A 15,819-nucleotide genomic window follows, 5' to 3' on the forward strand; every position below is an offset into this window, starting at 1 on the left:
ACTTCCCTAGTAGGTAATGACACTGAACATCTTTCATGTACTTGCTCACCATTTGGATATCTTCTTTAGGAAAATATCTGCTCAAATCTTTTGTGCCCATTTTTAATTGTGTTATCTGTCACCTCATTATTGAGTTGTGAGAGGTCTTTATATATTTTAGGAACAAGTTCTTTATCGGTTATCTGATTTGCAAATATGGGGCTTACTTATCTTTTCATTTTCTTAATGGTGTCTTTGGAAATGCAAAGGTTTTTAATTACATCAATTCTTTCATTTATGGATTCTGTGTTTAGTATCACTTTGCCCAACCCAAGGTCACAAAGATTTTCTCCTGTTCTCTTCTAGAAATGTTGTAATTTTAGCTTTTATGTTTAGGTCTAAGATCTATTTTTAGTTAATTTTGGAGGCAATGTGAGACAAGGGTCTCAGTTTATGTTTCTGTATATGGATACCCATGTGTCCCAGCACTGTCTGTCAAAAGGACAAAGCTTTCTCTTTAGAACTGCCCTGCCATCTCTATCAAAAGTCAGTTGGCCATAAATATAAGGATTTATTTCTGGACTCTCAATTATGCTACATTGATCTATATACTTTATATCAATACTTCAGTGTCTCCATTACTCTAGCATTAGAATAAGTTTTGGACAGAAGAACTGTAAGTCCTCTGACTTTGTTATTTTTTAAAATGTACATATATAATCTAGAATCAGTGTGTCACTTTCAACAAAAAACTGTTTCCACATTTAGAGATTTTCCTGCAGTCGTTTTGTTGTTAATTTCTAGTTTGATTTCACTGTGCTCAGAGAACACATTCTCTATTATTTCAATTATTTCAAATTTGTTGAGGCTTGTTTTTCAGCCCAGGATATGGTCTATTTTGATGAATGTCCCATGGAGCCTTGAAAAAATAATTGTTTTTTTACTGTTGGTTAGAGTGTTTGATCTGTCTCAATTGGGCACCATTGGTTGATTGTGTTGTTTAGATCTTCAATAACCATGCTAATTTTCTATCTACAGCAGGTCAATCAGTAGATGAGGGGGAGGAATTGAAGGATCTAACCAAAACTATAGATTTAGCTATTTCTTCTCTCTGTTCTTTCAGTTTTTGATGTTTAAATTTTGTGGTTCTGTTGTTTGACTTGTACTCATGTGGAAACTTGTCTTTCTGATGGATTGAGCCTTTATCATCTAATGTCCATCTTCGCCTCTAGTAAGGTTTTTTGCCCTGAAGTACATCTTATCAGCTACAGTACATCCACACCTGATTTATTTTATTGTTTGTGTGTTATATCTTTTTCCATCCTTTTACTTTCAATCTACTTACGTCACTGTGTATAAAGTGAATTTCCTATAAAAAGCATACCAGTTGGGTCATTTTTCTAATCCACTCTGTGAGTCTCTGAAATTTGATTGATGTATTTAGATCATTTACATTTAAAATAAATAGTATTTCAGCAATTAAGGCTACCATATTATTGTTTGTTTTCTGGTTATTTCCTGTAATTCTCATTCCTCTGTTTCTTTGTGTTACTTGCATAAATTTTAAGATCTACCTATAGGAATTCTGAGTGTATTGTTTTTGCAAAGTTATTTTAGTGATTGCTTTGGTCATTACAATACACATATGTGACTTTACACGGTCTATTGGCACCAACATTCCATTGCTTTGACAGGACTTTTGACTTCTATTTAGGTCATTTTGCCTCACTCACTTTTAAACAGTGTTGTCTTGAGCATCAGACAATTCTATAATTTTTATTTAAATCCTCAAATGTGATTTTTAAAACTCACGACTATTCATGGAAAGAACACTCTACCATATGTACTCCTATTTCTGCTCTTTCCATTATTCCTTCTTCCTTCCTAAGGCTCCAACATTTTTTTCTGTTTCAAGATTATATTTTAGTCATTAAAGTTGGTCTGACAGTGACAATCTCTTTTAGCTTTCCTTCTTCTGAGAATGTCTTTATTTCCCTTTCATGTCTGGAGGACAGTTTTGCTGGATATAAAATTTGGGGTTGGCAGTTCTTTTATTTTGGTATTTAAAAATGTGCCATTTCCTTCTGCCCTTCATGGATTCAGAGCAGAAATGCACTGTCATTCAACTTTGTTTTCTGTTCAATTATCATGTGTTTTCAAGTGGATTTTATTGAGATTATTATGCCTGGCATTCACTCAGTTTCTTAAACCTATAGGGCTTTGTCTTTTGCCAAATTTGGGGAGTTTTCAGCCATTATTTCTTCTAATACTGTTTTAGATCCACTCTGTTTATCCTCTCCTTCTGGAACTCTGATGATAGAATGTTGGATCTTTTGTCCTGTAGGTCCTTGATGTCTGTTCATTTTTTGTTTGTTTTTAGTCTATTTTCTCTCTGTTGTTCAGATTAGATAAATTCTATTGCTCTGTCATCCACTTCACAAACTATCCACTGACATCTCCACTCTCCTATTGAGCCCGAACAGTGAGTTTTTCATTTCTGTTTTTGTACTTTTTAGTTCTATAATTTCCATATGTTTGTTTTTTTCTTTATTGGCTGAGATTTTTTTATTTTGTCAACTGTTTTAAGATAATTTGAATTGATGATTGAATCTTTTTTTTTTTTTTAATAAAAACTGCTTTAAGCCTGCAGGTGGTGCCTCATGCCTGCAATCCCAGCATTTTTGGAGGATGAGGTGGGTGGATCACCTGAGGTCACGAGTTTGAGACCAACCTAGACAACATGGTGAAATCCCGTCTCTACTAAACATGCAAAAATATAGCTGGGCATGGTGGTGGGTGCCTGTAATCCCAGCTACTTGAGAGGCTGAGGCAGGAGAATCATTTGAATCTAGGAGGGTTGCAGTGAGCCAAGATCATGCTATTGCACTCCAGCCTGGGCAACAAGAGTGAAACTCCATCTCATAGAAAGAAAAAAACTGCTTCAAAATTTTTGTCAGATAATTTCAACACCTGATTCATCCCAGTGTTGATCTGATCTATTATCTCTTCTCATTCAAGTTGTGATTTTTGTGGTTTTTAAAATGATGGGTGGTTTTTTTATAGTAGCTTGTCAGAAGGTCCCAGGTCCTATATAAATCTCTTATTTTTGTAGGCAGTCACCCAGGTTTATCATGTAATCTTGGTCTGCTTCTATGGGCTATAGTTCCAATGGCATTTTCATTTTCAGAGACTTTACAGTATTATTTTGGTCTGTTTGGTTTATATGGTGCCACTGGGCCCTGCTGGTGCTGCCAGAGGGGACAGAGAGAGTTTCCTCAGATTTGGAAGCTGGATGTTTTTCAGTAGGGGAGAGAAGCCTCACACCCATGGAGATGAAGAAGCTTCCTTGCTGGGCCACTTTTGTGTCTAGGTGCCTCTTGCTGGCTCTTCCCTGAAGGCTTGGTGTCACCTGGTTGAGGAAGGGAGTCTTAGCCTGGAAGAAAAAGTGAGCTCTTCCTCTGGTGCTCATTGTGGGAGGAGCCCCTGATCCATCCTCTTTGCAGCTGATGCTGGGCTCACTTGAGGTTTTCAGGGGAACTCCCCTTTGATCCAGGGGAGGAATGAGCTTACCTGAATGTTTTCTGTTGCTAGATTGGAGTAGGAAAAAAGCAAGTCTGGGTGACCTTCTGCTGTTGGATGGGAAAACATAAGATGTCTAGCAGTTGTGTTACTCCTCCAGTCCTGGGATTCCAAACCAGTTTACCTTCTTTTCACCACCTTTCAAAGTCTTCATTTGGTTGTCTCTTATGTTATTTCCAAGGTTTAAAGCTTTACTCAGCAGGAAAGAGAAGGAAGAAATTGACCTATGCCATCTTGTCTGGATCAGAAGTCCCAAATTTTTAAACGCTTTGAATTAGCACTATCTCTTATAACTATTATGTTACCTATAAAGTGTGCCTCACCAGCTAAAAGCAGGGCATACAGTAAGTCAGCATTGGTGAAGAGAATTGGGGGTGTTTGTGGTCAAAATGTATCAAAGTGGTTCAGAGCAAGTGTGAGCCCCTTCCTAAACTGGGGAGCAGCTCTGCAGGACCATACACCAAGCCTCCTCCAGCAAGCCTGCTGGGCCAGCAAAAGCTGCATGCTCTCTGGATCCCTGGGGGTGAAAACCAGACTGTAGACCTTGGAAACATGCAAATGCATGCAGGATACACATTTGCAGGCATATTTGTGGACAAATATGCAGACTTTTAGGTAAAACTACAAATTTAATCAATTTATTGGTAATATCAAAAGAAAGTTAAATGGCAAAGAGTTTCATCTGAAAAAAGGAAGAAAATATTCTTACCTGTTCTGAGGGCATTTCACCAAATAATGTCTCACTGTGAAAGGAAAAATAATAGAAGATGGTAAACCAATGCTACTTCAGATATATATGCTCCAGGAATTACAAGGAAATGCCGGGAGCCAGGTGTTGTTCAGGTATTGGTGCTATACCACCCAACTCTCAAGACTTGCATTCTTCTGTTTGGAAGAGCACAGCAGAGCCATCACATGAACACAACAGTGACTGGATATGTCCCAGCCAGGGATCTAGCCAGGCATTAAGCCATACACCCCAGACTTCCTGGGTATTCATTTTGGGCCAAGGCAGGTTAAGTTGGGATCCTGGAGTAATAGAGTCACTCAACCTCTAAGCTCTGCCTGAGTCATAAGAAAGCCCTCTTGAGGCCAGATGGAATAACGTGTCCATTTAGAAGCTCCTCATTGAAAAATGAGTTTGAATTCTCTGATTAATGCTCTTCCAGGACTAAAAAGAGGCCCTCGGGAAAAGAGTCTTGGACCAAAACCTCCTCCTACAGGAAAACCAAATGATTCTGGCTGCAGAGGAAAAGTAAGAATACCTAGGCACATAATCCAGCAAGTGTCCACTCTGAGGTTCACAGCTGAATTTACTTCAAATAGAGGTAAAGCTGAAACAACCAGGGGGACCCTTGAATTGTGTGGTAGATTGTTACATCAGTGGACTCAGTGAATCACACCTCCTTGTATGTGTCCACACCCATGTGTACCCCCTCCCAAACTGACTCTGGGCTTGGCCATATGAACTTGCTTTGGTCAAGAGAACATTAGCCAATGTGTCACAAGCAGAGGTGTAAAAGACACCTGTGCTATGGGGTTTGCCCTCTCTTGTTGCAGGGAATTTTTCTGTCACCACATGAGGAAGCCTGGCTAGCCTACTGGAAGATGAGACTACACGGAGCAGACACCAGCTGTCCCAGCCAAGGCCCCGAACAACCAGGTCCCAGGTAATGCATCAAGAGACTGCAGCTGCATGAATGACTCCAGCTGAGACCAGCAGAAGAAATGGTCAGCTAAGCCCAGCCCAAACTGGCAACCTGTGGAATTGAGAGCAGATAATAGTTGCTTTAAGCTGTTACATATGGGGTGATCTGTTACGCAGCTTCCAAAGTAAGATGAGAGAATCTCAGCTTCAAATGGAACTGTACAGGTTTATCTCGTTCAGCCTCCTATTAATACCTAAACTCTTTCTGTATTCCATTTACCGAGCATCTACTGTATACTAGATAATCTATAGATGCAACAATAATAACAACCATAGTTAGTATTTATCGAACATTTCATGTGTCCCTGGCACTATTCTAAGCTTATTAGATGGATCAGTGGTCTTCAGTCTAGGGTCTGGATACCCCTGGGTACTCTTTGGCAAAACAGTTTTAAGGAATCACCTTAACATCCTCACCTCCCATGGTATTCTTTCCTAAGAATGCATTCTCTTAGAACATGCCTGAGGTCTGGCCGTATTCATTTCCCTTCCCCACTTTTAACATCACCCTTTTCTATTCATAAAATCAAAGCACACCATCCTGGAGACCTGTCCCAGATTGAAACGTAAATGAGACATCAAACAAGAATTAATGTAAAATACTAATATCTGTGTCAATAAAGCAAATTATTAACTAGGCAACTAAATCTTTCACAAGGGGGGGATGTTTCTAATACTTTGCTTTCAACAAGGATTGAATAATGACCTAATCCAATTGTCATCTGGTAGAGTATTAAAAATCATTTTGGATGATAAATCATGATGTGACTTTTGACATATACCTTGGAAGTAGTTCTAAAAATTGAGGAGTATAAGAAAATTTCATTCATTCATTCATACTCTGTTTATATTGAAGTATTTCAGAGCTAATATCTATTAACAAAATTGATGATAAATTTTATCCCTAAAAAATTCATACCAGGGTATATGAAGTAAAAATAAAAATCAATTTCAATAAAAATGCATTCCCAATAAATTTTGCTTTTTATGGCTATTATGTATCTAAATTTATGATATGTTTATGTCATCTTGATTAATCTTATGCTAATTTTCCAAAGTTTACTAATTGTGCAATACTAATAAGTCAATCTAAAAAATATTTTAACAGACACTTATGAAATGAGGAAATTAAAAAATTATTAATTTAAATTTGTACACACATATTATCTTACAGATAAGTAAAATAGGGTAATCAATAAAGAACCTTCAAAACAAAAGATGTATTACAGTAGGATGAAATTTTGTGGGGAAGTGTACTGAAGATAAAAATTCAAGGAGAAGAAGGAACAATACAAAATTTCTAACAGTTAAAACTTGTTTGGGTAGGTACTTTTTTTCTCATGATGGCTTTAAATAAATGAAGACAGTCATTAAATTCAAGACATTTAGATGTGAAAGAAAGATGGATCTAATCATTTCATTTTTAAGATGTCAAAGATGGAAATTACATCTTTCGCAACAATTTACATTTATGATGAAAAAGTTTAGATGTCAACAAAAAAATGATTGAGTGCATAGTTTTTGAAATTATTTTAGGAACTATGCAAGCAAAAAAGTTTGAAGACCACAACTTTGCATTCTAACTTAATCTTCACAGTAGCCTTGTCATTACTTTTATCTTACAGCGGAGGACACTGAAGCACAGAGAGGTTAATAAACTTGCCCAAAGTCACTCAGGTGATGTTACGGGCTGAATTATGTCTCCTCCACTGAGCCTAACTGAAGCCTAATCCTCAGTACTTCAGAATGTGACTGTATTTGGAGATAGGGTCTTTAAAGAGGTAATTAAGTTAAAATGAGGCCATTAGGCTGGGCCCTTATCTAATCTGACTAGTGTCCTTAAAAGTGAAGGAGATTGCAACAAAGACAGGCACAGAGGGAAGACCATGTGAAGACACAGGGAGAGCAGCGGTCTCTAAAGCCCAGGAGAGAGGCTTCAGGGGAAATGAATCCCGCTGACACCTTGATCTCAAGACTTCTGGCCTTTAAAAGTGTGAGATAATAAATTTCTGTTGTTAAAGCCATGCAGTATGTGGTACTTTGCTGTGGCGGCCTCCGCAACCTAATACACCTGGGAAGTGCCAAAGTTGGGCAGCTTGGCTCCAGAGCCCTCTTGTAACTATAGTCATCCCTCATATCTTTGGGGCATTGATTCCAGAACCTCCCAAGGATACCGAAATCCGAAGATGCTCAAGACCCTTATATAAAATGGAGTAGTATTTCCATATAACCTACGCACATCCTCCTGTATACTTTTAATCATCTCTAGATTACTTGTAATACATAATACAAGGTAAATGCTATGTAAACCATTGTTATGTTTTTTTCATCAGTATGATTTGTATTATTGTATTGTTATTTTTAATTGTTTTTTAATCAAATATTTTTTATCCGAGTTTGGTTGAATCCTCAGTGCAGAACCTGTGGATAGGGAGGACCAACTGTACTCTGCACCATTCTCAGAGACACTGGGCAGCTGGCGTCAGGGGTCCTGCAGGTGGGGAAATAGAGTCTCACAGAAGAAATGGCCAGACCACTGTGCCACAGCTGAAGCCAAGCAGAGATGGTACTGGGACCCAAGATAATCCCATGAGCTGACCGGTGTTTTGATAAGTCCAGTGCTCGAGGTAGCAAGGTGAGCAGCCTGGAGATCAGGAATGCAGGGAACAGTAGAGCAGCTGCAGGGTTCCCCGGAGGCAGGGAGCCGACTAAGAAGGGCCAGGAGCCCGATGAGGCCAGACAGTGCCAGGGTACAGGAGATGCACCCCTGCCAGCGCTTGCTGAGGCACCGTTCTGAGATCTCGGCAGCATGTATGTGGGGTTGATGGTCCCATTAAGAGGGACTGCCCACAGGATCAAAAGTGATTCTGGACATCAAAGATGAGGTTTACAGGCACCTGAGAAATAGACTTCACTGAGAGTCACCCTTAAATATGCATAGCATAATTAGTGCTATTAATATTTACCGAAGTGTGCCAACCCAGATTAGCCTCCCCAAGAAGCAGAAATCCTAAGAAAAAGATTCAAGTGTCAAGAGTTTATGTGGGAGGTGATCCTAGGAAACCCACTGGAAAGTGCCGGAGACCAAGAAGAGAATCAGCCAATAAAGGGTGCGTAATGGAGCCAATACACCCCGTGGGCTGTGGCCTGGCACCAGGCACTTGACCTAGAAGCAACCGTCCTGCACAGAGGTGAACATTCAGGACGTGTTCTCAAATGGTTATTTTAGGATCCTTAGGACTTTGAAGACTCTGAAAGGAAGGCTTATTTTTGCAACCTCTCCTGATAAGAAGAAGCAGGCCCTGGGCCACTCCCTACCACCCCCACCCTTTCTTCTTCTTTTCAGCTGAAACCATGCTGCTCACACTCTCACCCCATGGCAAACCTCCCAGATGGCATGTCCAGCCTGAAGGCTCTGTCTTCCCCATCTAGACCTGTCCCTATCACCACTGCCACCCCAAGCTGGGTGATTTGAGGTGGAGGCAGCCTTACTCCCATCTTATCAGGCCCCGTAACAGTGTTGGGACCTCCAAGGCATGGTTGATATCTACCCACCTTACCCCTATGCCCTGGCCACGTCTTCTGACCTCCAGGCTTTGCACAGGCCCCGCAATAGGACCCATGGATGTTTCTGCTGTATCCATCAAGTGTCTGCACTCGAGGCAAGGACTGTGGCAACCCTGGCGTTGCAAGGGGTCACAGTACTTCATGCACAGTAAGCACCCAGGAGCATTTTCAGAGTGAAGGACCACAGTACTCTCCCCATCTCCTGCAGCCCAGCACAGGCTGGGAGCCCTGCAGCCTGAGAAAGCACCTCCCTCATTCAGGGCTCAACCCACAGCCCCTGCCTGCATTTACCCAGTGGGAGAGAAAGGACCAGGGTGCACCCCTTACTACACACAGCCCTGTTTCCACCATGTCAGGCCCCAGAGCCCAGCCCCCTCCAGGAATGAGTCCTGCCTGGACAACCTTCCAGGCCTACAGTTATAAGGACAGGACCACCTCTATCACCAAGTGGGAAGCTGAGGAGAAGCAAGTCCTCCACCTCCTGCCCCTTTGGCACAAAAAGCCACTTAGAGGCCACATTTCTCACATGCAAAGGACCAGCATGCACAGCTGTCTGTCCAGGGTCCCATAGTCCCACATGGCAGCCATGAGCTCCAGGTGGCTATCAAGTCCCAAAATGTGATGAATCCAAAATGAGATGTGCTGGAGTGTGAGATCACACCAGATGATAAAGCCACACCTTAGCATAAAAAAAGAAATATCGGCCGGGCGCGGTGGCTCACGCCTGTAATCCCAGCACTTTGGGAGGCCGAGGCGGGCGGATCACGAGGTCAGGAGATCGAGACCATCCCGGCTAAAACGGTGAAACCCCGTCTCTACTAAAAATACAAAAAAATCAGCCGGGCGTAGTGGCGGGCGCCTGTAGTCCCAGCTACTTGGGAGGCTGAGGCAGGAGAATGGCATGAACCCGGGAGGCGGAGCTTGCAGTGAGCCGAGATCCCGCCACTGCACTCCAGCCTGGGCGACAGAGCGAGACTCCGTCTCAAAAAAAAAAAAAAAAAAAAAAAAAAAGAAATATGACATATCTCATTCATCATCTTTATTTGTTGATACTGTTGGAATGATATTCCAGATACAGTGGGTTAAGTAAAAATATTAAAATTAATTTTACCTGTTGCTTTTTACCTTTTTGAATGTGACTACTAAAAAAAAAAATGGTCAGATCACCTGTATGGCTGACATATTTCTAGGGGGCATCATGAAAAGGGCCTTCACTTGTCTGAGCAGCTGGGCTGCCAGTGGTGAAGGGGCACCCCAGGAAGGATGAGCCCTGCACATGAGAAGGTGCCCCTGCAGCTGCCCATGCCAGGAACGGCAGTCACTCAGCACAGTGAAAGTACCTCCCACAGCCCCAAGAGGTAAGAGGAACCTTCATTCCAATGTTAGAGAAGAGTCAGGAGTTCAGAAGACCCACTTTATAAATAAGGGAGCTTGAATCTAGGCTCCAAGTCCCGTGCTCCAGGGAGGCTAACCAACCCCCACAAAGGAAAGATGGGTGCTCAGGGGGCCTGACCAGAGAGCCAGCTGAGCCTCCCGGCACCCACTGAAGAACCAGAGAGATCTCGCTCCAGCTGTCCAGGTATTTGACTCCAGATGAATGAGTCCTTCCTCCTCTCAAAGGCCCCAGGCCATCCTCTGCTCCTCATCCACAGCCACCCCATTCTGTGCTTGGAGGCCTCCTCCCCACCCGAGTCTGGCTGTGGGTGGGATGTAACCTCCAGCTCCCTTTTCTTGCATCTCTCTGGAAGGAACAGCCACAGGCCCTTAGCTTCATCCTCATGGAGAAGCAGAGTGCCTGGGACAGGGGAGTCATGGGTGTTTAACAAGCCTTGGGAGGTTCTGTTTCCAGTTCTAGCACAATCTGTGCAAACCAAACAGTATCACAGCTCACACTGATGAGTACAGAGAAAGAAGCCAGGCCACTCCTCTTTCCTATCTAGTTCGAGTTTGTGCCTTAAAAACTGCACATTTAAAAGCTCAGACACAGAAGGTTGGATTGTTGGAGCCACTCCAAGGCAGCAGGTCAGGACTAATTCGCGAACAAGCAAAAGCCTTTGGAAACAAGTATGATTGAGGAACCAGAAGAATAATTCCAGGCTGGTGTTTTCCAGGATGACTCAGTGCTGTCAAGGCCCTGGGATGAGGTGCCTGGCACTGCGGGCACAACAAAGAGCAAGGACAGAGACTTGAGGCTCAGGAGGGAAGGGGAAACATGTTTGTGCTTGGCAAGCAACATATGTGTGCAATCAGCTCCAGCTCACTGAATGTTGAGCGCCCTTAGAGGCAAAGCAGTGCCAGGCTTGGGGTGAGGGCAGAGAAGCAGCAAGGCTGAGAGTGAAGAGGGGCTGGCCTGTGGCCTCCTGGCTCCTGGGATGGGCTGTGTTTATCTCAAGGTCCCACTGGGGGTTGCATCCGGAGTGGGACCAGCTACTCTGATGTCCTCTTTCCAGGCAGATGTTGCTGCAGGTGCTGGAGAGCAGGTGCCGGGCTCAGCTCTCCTGTCCACATGTGTGTAAGCAGCCTGCATACCTTGATGCCCTCAGCTCCCACACATGCAGGAGGGGTTGGGTCTCCTGAATGTGGTCAGGATGAGGGAAGCCCAACAAACATACAACTGCATAGAGAGACTGGAAACCATGAACAGAACAAGGGCCTGTATCTTCCTCAAACCAAGCACTGTTCTCAGTAGTGTATAGATGTACTACTAATTTTAATCAAGGTGATGCAAAGTTTGTTATAGTGCAGTGCATTAAATGACAGAATATGTTATATTTGAAAGTTAAGAGTGTTGCAGGTTTTAGTGATGTCATTTCTGAGGATCAGTGGGATCTTTGGACACACATGGCTTGGTCTACAAATGCTTGATTGCTTCCAATGAGAGCCATGGCCACCTTCAGCTAATCCATAAAAGGAGGAGCATCTTGCGGTGCAGCCTGACATGGGGGGATGTGCCCTGTGCCTGCTGTAGAGCTGGTACCTGCCAGAGCCTAAGACTTTAGAATCACTGTCAGCCCCATGGCCCAAACCCCTTCTAAACCTGCTTGGATGCAAATAGGGCATGCTCCTCAGGAACCAGCTGGTTGCTGGGGTAACAGCTCAGCACCACCAATCCTCAGGCCCCACAGGTGGTCGCAGTTATGCCCCAGCCACCAGGAATGATTGGGCAGTATCCCTTAATCCTCCTCAAACTTGTTCCTTGCTTGCTTGGCCTCCCTTGCTTCCCACTGGGCCTGGCAGTGAGAAGAGACAGCAATAAAGTCTCCTTTGAGTGGTGATTTAAAGATAACCACACATTCCTCATCACTCTTCCTCTTCCCTAAGTCTGGCCCGTCCTCACAACTTGCTGTAATTGATAGAATGTGGGAGAGTGACACAGTGCCAGCGTCCAGTCTAGGCATGTCCTTGGAGCCTGGAGCAAGTTGGGGGGTATGGCTACCTTGCTGGTGACACCACAGGGAGAGAAATATCACCAGCCCTGCTGTCCTATTTGTCTCAGAGGCAGGCCCCAGGGCTGAGAGTGGCACTACCTTGGATCTCCAGTCCTGGTCAACTTCAGGTGGCTGAAGACACACAGATGACTCCAGGTGACACTGCCAGAAGAACCACCCAGTTGCACCCAGCCCAGTGCAGAATCTTGAACAAATAAATGTTGTGTTAAGCCACTACTTCCTGGGTGATTTGTTACTCAGCAAGAGATACCTTGAACATTTTGGGATTACCCGTGTGTGTTGACAGGAAAGGCAACTATTCTTAGTTATACCTTCAAAGCCAGGAAGGAAGTCTTGACCACCTTAAAACAAGGCCATATTTATCATATCCTTTCTGTCCTATCATATCATTTTTGTTATTAAATTTCATAGAGAAAAAAAGTTAGGAACAGTCCAGGCCTCATGGATCTACAGATCCATGCAGATCTACCAGCAAATCTACCTGCCAATCTGCTTCTGGAACACCACCTGAGCCTGAGCAACCTTCTTGGGCACCATCTAGGGGAGGGAACACCCTCAAAACCCCTTGCAGTGGTGCCAAGGCTCTGGGAGGACGGCTTCTGCTATGGCCCTGCAGTGGAAGGTACAGGGCTTAGATTCAGAGGAAGTGGGGTATGGGTCCTGAGCAATATCTGGGCAATTTGCCACTGCTCTGCATATCCCCACCTTCTCAGCTAGGACACAGGGGCTTGATGTGACCACTTACACCCCAGACAGAGCATGGCAGAAGCAGAATCACTCACAGACAGTGTTCCATTTGCACCATGACTCCCTTGTTGAGCCTGTCTCAGGGGGTCCCAGAGGCCTTGTTTCCTCCAATTCAATGGACCTGGGAATAATCAGCTCAAAGCCCATGGTTTCCAGGGGGAACAATCCTGCCCTTCCCCCAACCACAGGACAACTTGGAACGCTCAGGGGATGTTCTGATTATAGCACTGATTGGGGACAATCCTTGACCATTGATAGGCCATGGCAGGGAAGCTTGACATCTGTGATATATAGGAAAGTCCACAAATGAAGATTTCTCCTATAGACTTTGAGTAACCCTCTTGACATTCATGCAGAAAAGAGGAAACCCATTCATGAGAGCCTGGAAGCTAAGTCCAATTTATGTGGAAACACAAGGTGTGTATTTTCTCCATGCTAATGCACAATGAATGTTTAAAGGGTGTGCAAATTGGCTGAAGAGTGTTTTCTTTCATTAAAAACCCTACCAACAGTTGGGATGTTAGGAATCCCATCACCATGGGCAGTGCCTCTCCTGGATATTACAGCCCATCTGTGTCTGTCTATGCTGATCCTTGTCCCCTGCATGTTGAGTCTTCGCATATACAAACAGGTGCTTATCTAGCGTTTATTTCAAGCGTCAAATATAAAGGATTATTATCTTCTCTGAAATTCACACTGATTCAAAGAAGAGGTGTAATACTAGAATTTGTCTCAGTGTGCTATAAATTGCTTTCCTCTGATTTTTCCTTTAATTATAAAGCATTAAGTTGATTTGAGGGGGTACACATAGTATAGCTCATCTATGAATTTCATTTTAAAATAGTAGAGATCATTCCAAAATACTTGTTGTAAAAGCAGGATGCTTGATGGGATAGAGGTAAGAAGAACAGCTCTAAGGCCTTGCTACTCCAAGCATGGCCTCACACCAGCAGCAGAGCTGGCTGGAAATGTAGGATTGCAGGCCTGCCCCAGACATCCTGAATCAGAATCTGCATTTGAGCAGGTTCCCACGTGAACGGTCTGCTCCTGAAGTTTTGGGGAGGGCTGCTCTAAGACTCCTGGGCCCAGCTGAAGGAGACTACCTAGGCCCATCATGCACGGTCCTCCATCCTTGGCCCCACAGTGAGTTGAAAGATGCCTGGCTCCTGGAGGTGCATGGGGCAAGACCTGCCCTGCCAATGGGAGTTGCACTCAACCAAAACCAAACTACTAGGAGATGCAGGTACTGGCTAGAGCTGTCTTGGAAGAGCCTCAGCAACAACTGCCATGGAGGGCTAAAGAAAAATTCCCTTGGCAAGGTCAGCCCCCGATAGCCAAGGTTTTCTTGAATAGAAACATGAGAGGCTTGGGAACCCAGCTTGGAAACTGCCTATGTTGCTTCCACACTCCAGCAGTTGAGAGGCTGGGGCTCAACTTCACCCTACCGCTCCCTGGTTTCAGGGCCTTCTCAAGCTCCTCAGCTGTGCTGTCAGGTAAGAGCATTGTCGCTCTCATCCAGGGTCACATAAGCACATGGAGGGGCCATATGAGGTGCCTGGCCCACAGCGGGTGCTCAGACAACGCTCTGGACAGCTGTGGTTTGGGGAGGGTTTTCAGGCACTGTGCACAGGTGCAAATGGGACCATCTGAGGCCCACTCCAGTGGGGATGAGGCAGCTGGGATCCCCATTCTCTGAAGCCTCTCTGTGAGGCCTGGAGGAGGATGCCAGGTGCTTGCACATGTCCCAGTCTGCCCTTCTTGGCCCTTCTTTGTTTCCCTGATCCTGTCTAGGGCCTAGCAGGGCCTGCAGCCAGTGCAGACTCTCGATCATGCCCCTGAGCCCAGGCAAAAGTGCCTTCAGAGCATACCCAGCTTGGAAACTGCCTATGTGGCTTCCACACTCCAACAGTTGGGTGTAAGGCAGGTGGGAAATAAACCCATTTGTCCACCATGTGCTGAGCATCTGTCCTGAGCCACATTCCAAGGAGAATGAATTGAATGTGTGGTCCCTGCCTCTCACACTGTCCTCTTGAAGGAAGGCCCATGCCAAGGCACAAGTGCAATGTGCCACAAGCTCACAAGAGTATTCAGGGGTTGAGAACAGGAAAAAGCTGCATTGCCACTGATGAGGGAGGTGGGTATTGCAGGGGAAGGCCCTGGAGCTGGCTTTGAAGGACAGCATAGAGACACAGGCAGAGGCTGGTGGGAGAGCACAGGCTCCAGAGGAAAGACACCCATGCTACAGCCTCTGCCCCATTGCCGATTGTGGAGCATGCTGGAGTTCTCCACTGCCCTCTGGATCCCCGTCCACCTTTGTCCAGCCTGCTCAGCCCTGGAGGCACCTTCCTGTTCCTGACCCCCTGGCTTCTGGTGGGTGGCACCAAGGGCAATAGCAGCAGGAGATCCAAAGTGGGGAGGGGAGAGGGCCTGAGGAGTGTACCATCCTGGCTCCCTCCCAGCTGCCTCCTGGTTTGTCAGGAGCTGAGTCCCTCTCTGCAGACCCCTGATGGTGACACCTCTCCCAAAGCTGCAGCTAACGCATGGTGCATTCCAGGAACCTCCCCTCTCCTTGTCCCTTAAGGTCTAGGATGGAAACAGCATCCCATGGGTACTTGTCATTGGATGTGTCACCTCCCTCATTGTCCCTTAGGCTTGCCCACACCCCTGCATTAATGCTGCACAGAGTCACTGTTGGAGTGGCCCCTCAAACTGTGACCACTGAATCTAATATTTCCAAGCTCTATGACCTTGAGCTAACAGTGACAATTATTGTGTATAATTAGAGCCATA

At 44.7% G+C, this 15,819-nt stretch overlaps 1 protein-coding gene across 4 annotated transcripts in view; it reads right to left on the reverse strand.

The window, feature by feature from the left end:
- Positions 1 to 15,819, reverse strand: part of VSTM4 (V-set and transmembrane domain containing 4) — a 101,287-nt gene that overhangs the window by 46,200 nt on the left and 39,268 nt on the right. For all 4 annotated transcript variants that reach the window (XR_001747052.3, NM_001031746.5, XM_047424711.1 and 1 more), the window contains exon 5: positions 4,268 to 4,301. Coding sequence is in view for 3 of the 4 variants with exons in the window: in NM_001031746.5 (NP_001026916.2) it covers positions 4,268 to 4,301 (34 nt within the window). In the remaining variant the exon portion in view is untranslated. The remainder of the gene's footprint in view (positions 1 to 4,267; positions 4,302 to 15,819) is intronic.

Source organism: Homo sapiens, chromosome 10 (genome assembly GCF_000001405.40).
Source record: "Homo sapiens chromosome 10, GRCh38.p14 Primary Assembly".
NCBI classification, from domain to species: domain Eukaryota; kingdom Metazoa; phylum Chordata; class Mammalia; order Primates; family Hominidae; genus Homo; species Homo sapiens.